The 12,903-nt window shown below is 39.0% G+C and overlaps 1 annotated feature.

Annotated features, from left to right (window-relative positions):
- Positions 8,943-9,571: an enhancer, noted in NCBI's record as "H3K27ac-H3K4me1 hESC enhancer chr10:92010611-92011239 (GRCh37/hg19 assembly coordinates)". NCBI's record gives its function as "activates a minimal SCP1, AML or CMV promoter by ChIP-STARR-seq in primed H9 embryonic stem cells {active_cell/tissue: H9 hESC(primed)}" and the evidence as "EXISTENCE:reporter gene assay evidence [ECO:0000049][PMID:30033119]".

Here is a 12,903-nt window from a genome sequence, read left to right on the forward strand (position 1 = left end):
CCCTTCCCATAGGCTACTATATAAGGGCAAGATAACTATGGGGAAAACAGTCCTACTCAAACACTGAGGAAATAAACACAGACTTCTTCTAACCAACTAGGTCCTAAATTAATTAATGCATATAGACTAGAAGAATCACCAGACAGTTGAAGAGGTAAAAACAGAATAAAAGGGAAGGATTTCATTCAATAAACAGAACTGATAAAAGAAGAAATAGAGATAATGTAACAAATAGCAAGGAAATTACAAATAATTCTATTTCCCAGAATGAAAAATATATTGTAGCCATAGTGTAATACTGCACTGCCATGAAAAGGAAACTATCAAAGACCAAGGTAGCATGCTTGCAAATTAGAAACATAATTTCCAAATATGTATATGGTCTGGAGTCATGGCTAAAAACAAAATTTTTCCTCTGGAAAATATGCAATGTTAGTGTTCTATAAGGGTATGCAAATAGATAGAATGGGAAAAGAATGTAGAGAAAACTGAGAGGTAGAAAATTATTTCAGAGATTCAATATCCATCTAAAAGGAGTTCCAATAGCATAGACATTAGAAAATGAAGGTAGGGGGAGTCACTTTTAATATATAGTTATTTTTTAAAGCTGAAAAAAGTCACAGATTGAAAAGTCTTACCAAGTACCAAAGTGGGATGAATGAGGTAAACACACACAAATTAGAGATAGGTAGATGATAGATAGATAGATGATAGACAGATAGACAGACAGACATCTTGGTCAACTTGCAGATATTGAAACAGAAAGAGATTAACCTCAAGAGGTAATACCTGCTGGGTATTCTAGTGTCTATTCCCGATAGACTGAGACACTAGGAGACAACAGAAGAATAGTTTCGGGGTACTGATAAAAAGAGAGTTTAAATTTAGGGTTCTATACCCAGCCACATGTGAGGGCAGAGTAAAGACATAGCTTGCAAAATTGACCATCCACAGAGTTTTGCTGAAGAATTGTTTAAAAATATACTGTAGCAAAATAGTAAAGGAATGCAACAGCAAGGGAAGCAAGAAATTGTAGTGAGCAATGAAACCAGTAAAATCACACATATTTCTAAATAAATTTTAATATATAATATAAAAACAAACACACAAACAAAATCTGGAAATAAAATACCAGCTGATCTTAACATAAGAAGTGAAGAGGGGAAAGATTGACCGAGTGGAAGGGTAGACATAGGATAAAATGAAGAAATGATATAAGAAGTGTGTGGAGAGAGATGACACTCACTAATTGTAGATATAGATAGAAAAATATGTTTACTTTTTTATGTTAAATGTAACCATTAAGAAAGAGGAAACTAATAGCAAACTTTCAAAGCAAGTAGGTACAAAAATTGAACAAAAAATCATCCAGCAAAGAAAAAGAAACAAAAATAAGAAAGCAAATCAAAATTATAATATAAAATGATGAGTGTAACTCTAATTGTTTTAATAATCACAGCAATATTCACAGATCAAAAAAACTTCAAGTTACATTAAACATTGTTATTTTATTCTTTTTATAAAAAGCATGCCTAAACATAACAGAAAAACTGGAGTGTGTGGGATGTGGAAAGATATAATAGGCACGTGCAAAACACAGAAACTAGGAGTAGCAAATTAATATCAAACACAAAGTTCAAGGCCAAATTAATTGAACTGGATAAAAGGTGTAATCTACATAGAAAATATAATATAAACTTCTTATTTTTCAGCATGGTTTCAAATTATATTAAGCATTAGAAAAAATGTTATGAAAACTGACAAAAGTCTACAACCATAATGGGAGATTTAACAGGCCTCTCTCAGAAATCAACAGATCACTTAGAAAACAAAATAAATAGAGAGCTATGTCGTCCATTATGGTACCAATATACACACTGGACACATGGCTATTGAATACTTAGTATGTGGTTAATTCACTAGACACTAGACACATGGCTATTGAGTGCTTAATATGTGGTTAATTGAAACTGAGATGTGCTATAAGTGTAGAACACACTGGATTTTTGAAGATAATACAAAAAAGAATGCAATATACCTAGTAATAATTTTTCTATTGATAAAATATTAAAAAAGAATATCTGGGTATTTGTCATTAAATAAAATACATTATTAAAAATAATTTTACTTTTTAATGTGGTTACTAGAAATTTTAAGGTTACATGTGTCATTTGCACTATATTTTTATTGGACAGTGGTGGTAAGAGGATTTGAGTAACACTAAATATAAACTTTATTTAGTGGACCAATCTAGTTATAGTTCAGCTTTGTAGTACACCCAAAATAGATAAATTATTTTATTCCAATATCCATGAGATGTTTACAAAAATATATGAAGTATTAAATCTCTTGGGAAAATATCGATGTATTCCTCCAAAGGACAAAAATCAAAGCAAAACCAAAGATAAAACAAACTAACTAAGAAAAAAATCAAATATTTTTCTACAAATGATATGATAATGGTTATTATCAATCTGAATGATCCTTGCGCTAATGTATTTTGAGACATATATGGACAAGTAATGACTATGAAATGCCCATTCATCTGCAGCCTAGCACTGATTCTTTACAAAGGACCTTGATACCTTCTAGTCTCAAGAAGCCTTGATGACAATGACAGCGGGGTGAAAGCTGCAGGGAGAGAATGTGTATAAGCCATTGCATAGAACTGAGTCCACCTCTTCTTTCCAACCAGGTCAATGAAATAGTGCACCTGCAGCTAGAAGTCATGAAAGAACCAGCAAAGCACTTACCTATCAGCACAAATGCTATATTCCATCCATCTGCTATTTAGAGCAAAGTTTATCAAGCCTGAGTTTTGAACAAGCTCCTAAACAGCACAGAAATGAACATAGTCTGCTTAGTGCAGGGCTTAACAACATGGACTTTAGCATCAGACAAACTTGTGTTTGAAACTCAGCTTTTCCACTTATAAAACTTGGACAATTTTCTTAACTTCTGTGAGGCTCAATGTTCTTATCTGTGAAATGAGCCTAATAATAGCAAATTAAATATAATCCCTGTAAAGAAGGCAGCACAGGGCCTGGCATAAAGCAGCAATTAAAAAGAAAAAGTTTGCAATGTTCATATCATTGTTATTTTGAGAGTTAGCTTCAGTAAAAAGTGAAAGAAATTCCAGTCAGAAGAAATAGAAGAGGAAAGACACGACACAAGAAACAAAATAGTGTCTTAGGGGAAGTGTAAGGAATTTGATTTATTACAAAACAAAGAGTGGCAGAGAAGAATCTCCTGAGATAGGTAATGGCTATGCCATGGGAAACCTTCAGATGTCATGCCAAGGAGATCAGCCTTTATTAGGTGATAAATAGCTTTTGCGAGATTGTCGTGACAAGGAAAACATTTGAAATCTGTAATGACAAGGACAGATTTGTATTCTAGATAGATGACTCTCTCTACACTGTGGTAAGTGGATTGGAGGATGTCAAAGCCTCTGCAAAGTGTAACAGTTAGAAGGCTGTGACAGTGACTCACAAGGCGGTGAGCCTTGATAAATCAGTGATGGTAGAAGTAAAGCACCAGAGATAGAGCTGATGTGTTTAAATACACACCTACACGTATATAATAAAATTAGTGAAAGTGTATGATTAATTCTAAGTGGGAAGGGAGAATAAAGTTGATCAAAGTGATCAAGATATCACCAGAGTGTCTGCCTTGGATAAAAAGAATGGTGGTACCTAGAATAGAGATAAAAAATACACGAGGAAAAGCAAACTTGGAAGCAAAGATGGAGAGCTCAAGTTTAGATTGTTGAGTGGCATGTGTCTATGGGACAGCCACCTATGTAAATCTAGAAGGAATTTGTTCAGTAAGACCTGAAACCAAGGGAGGGCTGGAAGTGGTGATTCGTGAGTCAGTGGCACAAATGGGAGTACAAACAGTAATGTTCCAGTCAGATGAAGGAACATCAATTAAGGAGACTGAGAAAGTATAATCAGAAGGATAAGATAAGAGAGAATGGAGAGTCTGATGTAACAGGAAGTACAGGAAAAGAGTTTCCAAAAAGCAAAGAGTTTTCCATAAAGTGAAAGAAAATTTTTAAAAATCCACTAAGATAATGACTGAAGAGTATCCTCTCATTTTTTTAAAAAAGGGAAACCAATAGATTGTAATAGTTTGAAGGAAGACTGGGAACACAAATGAAATCAAAATATGTAAGAAAAGGTAAGAAAAGTGGTGGCCACAGTGGAACTCAAAATGAAAAGATTTTTAAAAATTATTAAACTGCAGCCTGCTGCATATCTCAAGTTAAATGTTCTGCAGGCACAGCAAGATCAGCATCTTCAAACTTCATCTCATTTCCACTCAATATTTTTTATGAGACTTCAGTGTATTTATAGGAGGAGAGAAAGGAAGCAGTAGAGATGATAATGGTGAAAACATAGGAAAGATAAGGGATAACTAGTAGAGAACAATCCTAGAAGAGATGAGAGGGACTGGTATCATGATCACACTGAGGAGGCTTTGTTCAGCTATAAGTAGAGACAATTCCCGTCCTCTGAATCTGGAGGTAAGAAGGTGGTTTAGGCAATGGATGAAGTCTTGCTGTAGAGCAAGGTGAGTTTGAAATATATCAGTGAGGTCATACTGTCATCTTTCAAGAGTGAAAAGGGTTAGGTTGGATGAAGATTTTTGAGGACAGTGGTGAAAGTTTAAAATTATTTTTGAGGGGATCAGAGGTAGGAGAAGACTAAGAAAAAAATAAGGAAAATATTGAGTGGGCTCTGCCTGAGTGTGCAAATTCCCTCAGTAGCCTGAGTGGGATAGAGATGTACTGCAATGCTGATCTCAAAAAGCTGAGGGTTGTACTAAATGGGTGCAGTAGCACAAGGGTACTCTGTAGTTTAGGGTGTGGGTGAGAGAGTTGTTGGATGGAATATCCATGAGGCTCTGACAGAGTAGAGAAGTAAGTAAGACCAGATGAGACCTACAAAAATAAGTAAAAGAGAAAGGATAAAAAATAAATGTGGAGGTCTCTCTGATGTAAAACAACAGAGAATCATGGGATCAGGAGTAAAAAAGAAATGGATGGATGAAGGTTATGATTTAGAAAGTCAGTTACCACATGTGAATTGATTTAGAGATGTTTTTGGGGGTAATGACAAGGCCTGTGGTGTGAATAACAAGATGGCTGACTGAAGTGGAGACAAACATCCCTGGGTCTCTGCATGCTAATGAAAGGAGGGGCCGTAGTGTTGGATTTTTGAAGTGGCAATACAGTTACCCAGGATGGTGGCCCAACATAAGATAGAGCTAAAGTCTAAGCCAGATGCTGAGAATCAAAAGAAATGCAAGGAGGTAACTAGCAAAGCAGTAGATGAGAGAAACAAAGATCTAGTTTCACATAATCTTGGGATATTGATGCAGTAGGCTAAATGATGCCCACCCCACAAAGATATCCACACCAGTATCTGTGAATTTGTTATCTTAAATGGTAAAAGAAACCTGGCTGAGATGATTAAGGATCTTGGGATGGGAAGATTTTCCTGGACTATCCACATGGGCTTAGTGTTATCACATGGGTCCTTATAAGAGGGAGGGCAGAGGGTCAAAGTCAGGTGATGACAGAAGCAGAGGTCAAAGTGATGTGGGGCCATAAGCCAAGGAAAGTGGGTGGGTGGGCGGCCTCTGGAAGCTGGAAAAGGCAAGGAAACAGATAGTTCTCTAGTGCTTCCAGAGAGAATCCAGCCCTACCTTGATTTTAGGACTTCTGACCTCCAGGGCTGCAAGATACATTTGTGCAGTTTTAAGCCACTGAGTTTGTGGTAATCTGTTACAGAAGCCACAGAAAACTAATACAATTGTTTCGCACAAACTCTCATGGGGAGTGCTAAAAGCCTTGGTGGAGACTGTTGTCATCTCTACTGGGAAGATGCATGCTCAGGTGTTGGCATGAGGATGAGGAGGCCTACGGGAAGGATAATTAGCATCATGCCCCTGGCTGGGTGGAGTGGATGGAGCATACTTGAGTGAAGTGTGATCATCTGCTGCTCATGATTCAGCTCTGACTTCTATCTTGGTGTTCAAGCAATGCTTCTCGTGGTGGCTTCTTATAGTCAGCTCCTCATTCCAGTTGCCATGGCCCTTTCAGGTCTGGTTTTCTCTTGGAATCTCCCCTCCAACAATCTTGCTTTTTAAAAATCTCCAATGTGATGAAATAAAGAAAATATTTACTACTCTCTGATTAAAATGTTCTCTCAGAGTCACCTGGATGAGTTTGTATTTTTAGACACCAAAACCTGGAAGACACCTTTTTCTTTCTGCTTTCTGACTAGTTTTATCTAGGACTGGGTGTATTGATTACAAGCCTACTAACTTCTTTAATGGGAAGTAGGCACAGAAAGAAAGAGGTAATATCTTTATAAATACAGGAATCAGGAAATCAAGAAGTGATTCTGGGCAAAAAGATGTCAGAAACTCAGCAAAGGATATCTGGTTACCTACACAAAGGCTCAAGTAACAAATATAGGGTATCAGAGTTAGAAGGCAGCTTGCTTTTTACTTCATTCTGAGCCAGCTGTTCAGTCCATGGTCCCTGCCTAGCATAAGAACTGGACCTGGAGTATGAGTTCTGAGTTCAAAGATTGGGGCAAATCAGTAAATATTACTTTAATGCAAGAAAAAAAAACTATGGAACAAAATAGCCTTTGACAGGATATTTCTCTGTATTCCAGCTTGTTGAGTCTTAGAGTTATGCAATATTAAAAGTAAAGACATCCTTCAAAGCAAGAAATACGAGTGATGATTGAGTGTGGTGTATTAAGGGTTAAGGCTCTGTGCTAAGTGCTTTATTTCCATTCAATCCTAATGATCAATTTGTGAGGCTGACATTATTATGCCTATCTGACAGAGGAAAAACCTGAAACTCAGAGAATGTAAGTGACCTCCCCAAAGGCATTCAGCTCAAAGGTATTTAGTAAAAGTCTCAGATGAAAATCAAACCTATTTTTGAGTGATTCAAAAATCCAGAAGGTGTGCTCTCTTTATTTCCACCATATCGCTCCCCAGTAGTCTCAGTATCTAAGACCTACAAACTTCAGAAACATTCTTGAGCAGTCTTATTGTTATGCTGATGTGAGAAGTCAGGCAGCTTTAATTTAACATTCAATATATTTCTGGACGATATATGTCAATATTTCCTCTTAGAACTATGGGCAAATCTTTCAGTATCTAGCAAAATGTGTTTGTAATCTCCCTGGATTCTGCTTATTTCTGGCCAGCAAAGCACAGGCCAGATCACATTGCTTCAGTTTCTAATTTAATGGGACATTAAGCATCCATTTCTGGTACCTAAATTGTACCGACTCTGTTATTTATAGAGCTTACATGCAAAGTGTTTAACTGAAATATGGAAATAAAAATAGGAAATGGATGGGTGCCTGCTATTGAGTCTCATAAGTGATCCCTTAATATTATTAAGTCCAGTAGGTAATGAGTGTTAAACAAATTTAGAAATTTTAAAATAAAGACTTAATTTCCTTCAGCTAAGGAGCTTCCAATTTTTATTTTGTGCTCCAAACATGTGCTTCTGGAAACAGTCAGGTCATCCATGCTTTATACATCATTCAGACATCTCTTGTTAATGGTGGTGCAATAAGGCTTCTTCTTCTCTCTTCTTCTCTCTCCCTCCTTCCCTTTCCTATTTTTCCTCCCCTTCCTTCTTTCCTTCCTTCCTTCGTTCCCTCCCTCCTTCCCCCAAGCTGTCTTTCTCTTTTTTTCTTTTCCTTTAATGTGATGAATCAATGCTGTAATGCAAACACCAGACATGGATTCTCAACGTGCACATGCTCAGCAGGGCAGAACTTTGTGAGCCTGTTTCAAAATTCCAGGAATAAAAGGAAATATACATAATCTGAATGCTGCCTTTTGCTGAGGACATTCAAAATAGATGTTTGCTTATTTTTACAGGTTTATAAACACATGGAAAACAAAATTCCTTCTAAGAGATTCAGAAATGCAAACAGGTACATGGTAAGGGTTTGAAGTGCCTAAAATATAGATCTCCATGTAGGGGAGATGGTCTGATGTCTGATTTCACTATTTGTTTATTAAAAAGCAGTTGGGAGTTATAGACTCTATCTCTCTACCCCTTCACACCTTGTATTAGATCAGTCAATGTCCCATAAGGTTCCAATCCTCTCTTTCCATGCAACGGCAGCTCTGTATGTATCCCACCAGGCATGTTCTTTTCCAGATCAGACTATACCAGTGGATACCACCCAAATTCTTTCAATTTCCAAAGTATCACATGATATTTTCGTGAAGTTCTGGGCATCAGGCCATTTACATCACAGAACACAAATGATTGAAAGAAATATTAAACACTTGGAGTCCCTCCACTCTCCCTGTCCCTGAAGACTTCATCTGGGCTGCTACTCCAAGGAGAGCTGGGGCCCATTACCATGTTGTTTGGCTTCTTCTCCCTCTACCTGCTCTCTTCTCCCCATACTATCTTCTCATATACTCAGGCTTTCCAGGGAGGATTAAAATTCTTCATATTTCATTATGTACCACAATTTAATTCTCTCTTTCTTGCTGTTTGCCCATCCTGATTATGCCATGAAGGCACATTCTCACTTATAAATGGGAGCTAAAAAAGTGGATCTCATGGAGGTAGAGAGTAGAATGCTAGTTATTTCTGGTTGAGAAGAATGGGGGGAAGAGGAGATAAAGAAAAGTTGCTTGGGGGAGGAGCCAAGATGGCCGAATAGGAACAGCTCTGGTCTACAGCTCCCAGCGTGAGCAACGCAGAAGATGGGTGATTTCTGCATTTCCATCTGAGGTACCCGGTTCATCTCACTAGGGAGTGCCAGACAGTGGGCGCAGGTCAGTGGGTGCGCGCACCGTGCGCGAGCCGAAGCAGGGCGAGGCACTGCCTCACTCGGGAAGCGCAAGGGGTCAGGGAGTTCCCTTTCCTACTCAAAGAAAGTGGTGACAGACGGCACCTGGAAAATCGGGTCACTCCCACCCGAATACTGCGCTTTTCCGACGGGCTTAAAAAACGGCGCACCACGAGATTACATCCCACACCTGGCTCAGAGGGTCCTATGCCCACCGAGTCTTGCTGATTGCTAGCACAGCAGTCTGAGATCAAACTGCAGGCGGCAGCGAGCCTGGGGGAGGGGTGCCCACCATTGCCCAGGCTTGCTTAGGTAAACAAAGCAGCCAGGAAGCTCAAGCTGGGTGGAGCCCACCACAGCTCAAGGAGGCCTGCCTGCCTCTGTAGGCTCCACCTCTGGGGGCAGGGCACAGACAAACCAAAAGACAGCAGTAACCTCTGCAGACTTAAATGTCCCTGTCTGACAGCTTTGAAGAGAGCAGTGGTTCTCCCAGCATGCAGCTGGAGATCTGAGAACAGGCAGACTGCCTCCTCAAGTGGGTCCCTGACCCCTGACCTCCAAGCAGCCTAACTGGGAGGCACCCTCCAGCAGGGGCACACTGACACCTCACACTGCAGGGTACTCCAACAGACCTGCAGCTGAGGGTCCTGTCTATTAGAAGGAAAACTAACAAACAGAAAGGACATCCACACCAGAAAACCATCTGTACATCACCATCATCAAAGACCAAAAGTAGATAAAACCACAAAGGTGGGGAAAAAACAGAGCAGAAAAACTGGAAACTCTAAAAAGCAGAGCGCCTCTCCTCCTCCAAAGGAACGCAGTTCCTCACCAGCAACAGAACAAAGCTGGACGGAGAATGACTTTGACGAGCTGAGAGAAAAAGGCTTCAGAAGATCAAATTACACCGAGCTACGGGAGGACATTCAAACCAAAGGCAAAGAAGTTGAAAACTTTGAAAAAAATTTAGAAGAATGTATAACTAGAATAACCAATACAGAAAAGTGCTGAAAGGAGCTGATGGAGCTGAAAACCAAGGCTCGAGAACTACGTGAAGAATGCAGAAGCCTCAGGAGCCGATGCGATCAACTGGAAGAAACGGTATCAGCGATGGAAGATGAAATGAATGAAATGAAGCGAGAAGGGAAGTTTAGAGAAAAAAGAATAAAAAGAAATGAGCAAAGCCTCCAAGAAACATGGGACTATGTGAAAAGACCAAATCTATGTCTGATTGGTGTACCTGAAAGTGACGGGGAGAATGGAACCAAGTTGGAAAACACTCTGCAGGATATTATCCAGGAGAACTTCCCCAATCTAGCAAGGCAGCCCAACATTCACATTCAGGAAATACAGAGAATGCCACAAAGATACTCCTCGAGAAGAGCAACACCAAGACACATAATTGTCAGATTCACCAAACTTGAAATGAAGGAAAAAATGTTAAGGGCAGCCAGAGAGAAACGTCAGGTTACCCTCAAAGGGAAGCCCATCAGACTAACAGCAGATCTCTCGGCAGAAACTCTACAAGCCAGAAGAGAGTGGGGGCCAACATTCAACATTCTTAAAGAAAAGAATTTTCAACCCAAAATTTCATATCCAGCCAAACTAAGCTTCATAAGTGAAGGAGAAATAAAATACTTTACAGACAAGCAAATGCTGAGAGATTTTGTCAGCACCAGGCCTGCCCTAAAAGTGCTCCTGAAGGAAGCACTAAACATGGAAAGGAACAACCAGTACCAGCCGCTGCAAAATCATGCCAAAATGTAAAGACCATCGAGACTAGGAAGAAACTGCATCAACTAACGAGCAAAATAACCAGCTAACATCATAATGACAGGATCAAATTCACACATAATGATATTAACTTTAAATGTCAATGGACTAAATGCTCCAATTAAAAGACACAGACTGGCAAATTGGATAAAGAGTCAAGACCCATCAGTGTGCTGTATTCAGGAAACCCATCTCACATGCAGAGACACACATAGGCTCAAAATAAAAGGATGGAGGAAGATCTACCAAGCAAATGGAAAACAAAAAAAGGCAGGGGTTGCAATCCTAGTCTCTGATAAAACAGACTTTAAACCAACAAATATCAAAAGAGACAAAGAAGGCCATTACTTCATGGTAAAGGGATCAATTCAACAAGAAGAGCTAACTATCCTAAATATATATGCACCCAATACAGGAGCACCCAGATTCATAAAGCAAGTCCTGAGTGACCTACACAGAGACTTAGACTCCCACACATTAATAATGGGAGACTTTAACACCCCACTGTCAATATTAGACAGATCAATGAGACAGAAAGTTAACAAGGATACCCAGGAATTGAACTCAGCTCTGCAAGAAGCAGACCTAATAGACATCTACAGAACTCTCCACCCCAAATCAACAGAATATACATTTTTTACAGCACTACACCACACCTATTCCAAAATTGACCACATACTTGGAAGTAAAGCTCTCCTCAGCAAATGTAAAAGAACAGAAATTATAACTATCTCTTAGACCACAGTGCAATCAAACTAGAACTCAGGATTAAGAATCTCACTCAAAACCGCTCAACTGCATGGAAACTGAACAACCTGCTCCTGAATGACTACTGGGTACATAACAAAATGAAGGCAGAAATAAAGATGTTCTTTGAAACCAACGAGAACAAAGACACAACATACCAGAATCTCTGGGATGCATTCAAAGCAGTGTGTAGAGGGAAATTTATAGCACTAAATGCCCACAAGAGAAAGCAGGAAAGATCCAAAATTGACACCCTAACATCACAATTAAAAGAACTAGAGAATCAAGAGCAAACACATTCAAAAGCTAGCAGAAGGCAAGAAATAACTAAAATCAGAGCAGAACTGAAGGAAATAGAGACACAAAAAAACCCTTCAAAAAATTAACAAATCCAGGAGCTCATTTTTTGAAAGGATCAACAAAATTGATAGACCACTAGCAAGACTAATAAAGAAGAAAAGAGAGAAGAATCAAATAGACACAATAAAAAATGATAAAGGGGATATCACCACCGATCCCACAGAAATACAAACTACCGTCAGAGAATACTACAAACACCTCTATGCAAATAAACTAGAAAATCTAGAAGAAATGGATGAATTCCTCGACACTTACACTCTCCCAAGACTAAACCAGGAAGAAGTTGAATCTCTGAATAGACCAATAACAGGAGCTGAAATTGTGGCAATAATCAATAGCTTACCAATGAAAAAGAGTCCAGGACCAGATGGATTCACAGCCGAATTCTACCAGAGGTACAAGGAAGAACTGGTACCATTCCTTCTGAAACTATTCCAATCAATAGAAAAAGAGGGAATCCTCCCTAACTCATTTTATGAGGCCAGCATCATCCTGATACCAAAGCCGGGCAGAGACACAACCAAAAAAGAGAATTTTAGACCAATATCCTTGATGAACATTGATGCAAAAATCCTCAGTAAAATACTGGCAAACCGAATCCAGCAGCACATCAAAAAGCTTATCCACCATGATCAAGTGGGCTTCATCTCTGGGATGCAAGGCTGGTTCAATATATGCAAATCAATAAATGTAATCTGGCATATAAACAGAACCAAAGACAAACACCACATGATTATCTCAATAGACGCAGAAAAGGCGTTTGACAAAATTCAACAACCCTTCATGCTAGAAACTCTCAATAAATTAGGTATTGATGGGATGTATCTCAAAATAATAAGAGCTATTTATGACAAACCCACAGCCAATATCATACTGAATGGGCAAAAACTGGAAGCATTCCCTTTGAAAACTGGCACAAGACAGGGATGCCCTCTCTCACCACTCCTATTCAACATAGTGTTGGAAGTTCTGGCCAGGGCAATTAGGCAGGAGAAGGAAATCAAGGGTATTCAATTAGGAAAAGAGGAAGTCAAATTGTCCCTGTTTGCAGACGACATGATTGTATATCTAGAAAACCCCACTGTCTCAGCCCAAAATCTCCTTAAGCTGAAAAGCAACCTCAGCAAAGTCTCAGGATACAAAATCAATGTACAAAAATCACAAG

This window comes from Homo sapiens, chromosome 10 (genome assembly GCF_000001405.40).
Source record: "Homo sapiens chromosome 10, GRCh38.p14 Primary Assembly".
Lineage (NCBI taxonomy): Eukaryota > Metazoa > Chordata > Mammalia > Primates > Hominidae > Homo > Homo sapiens.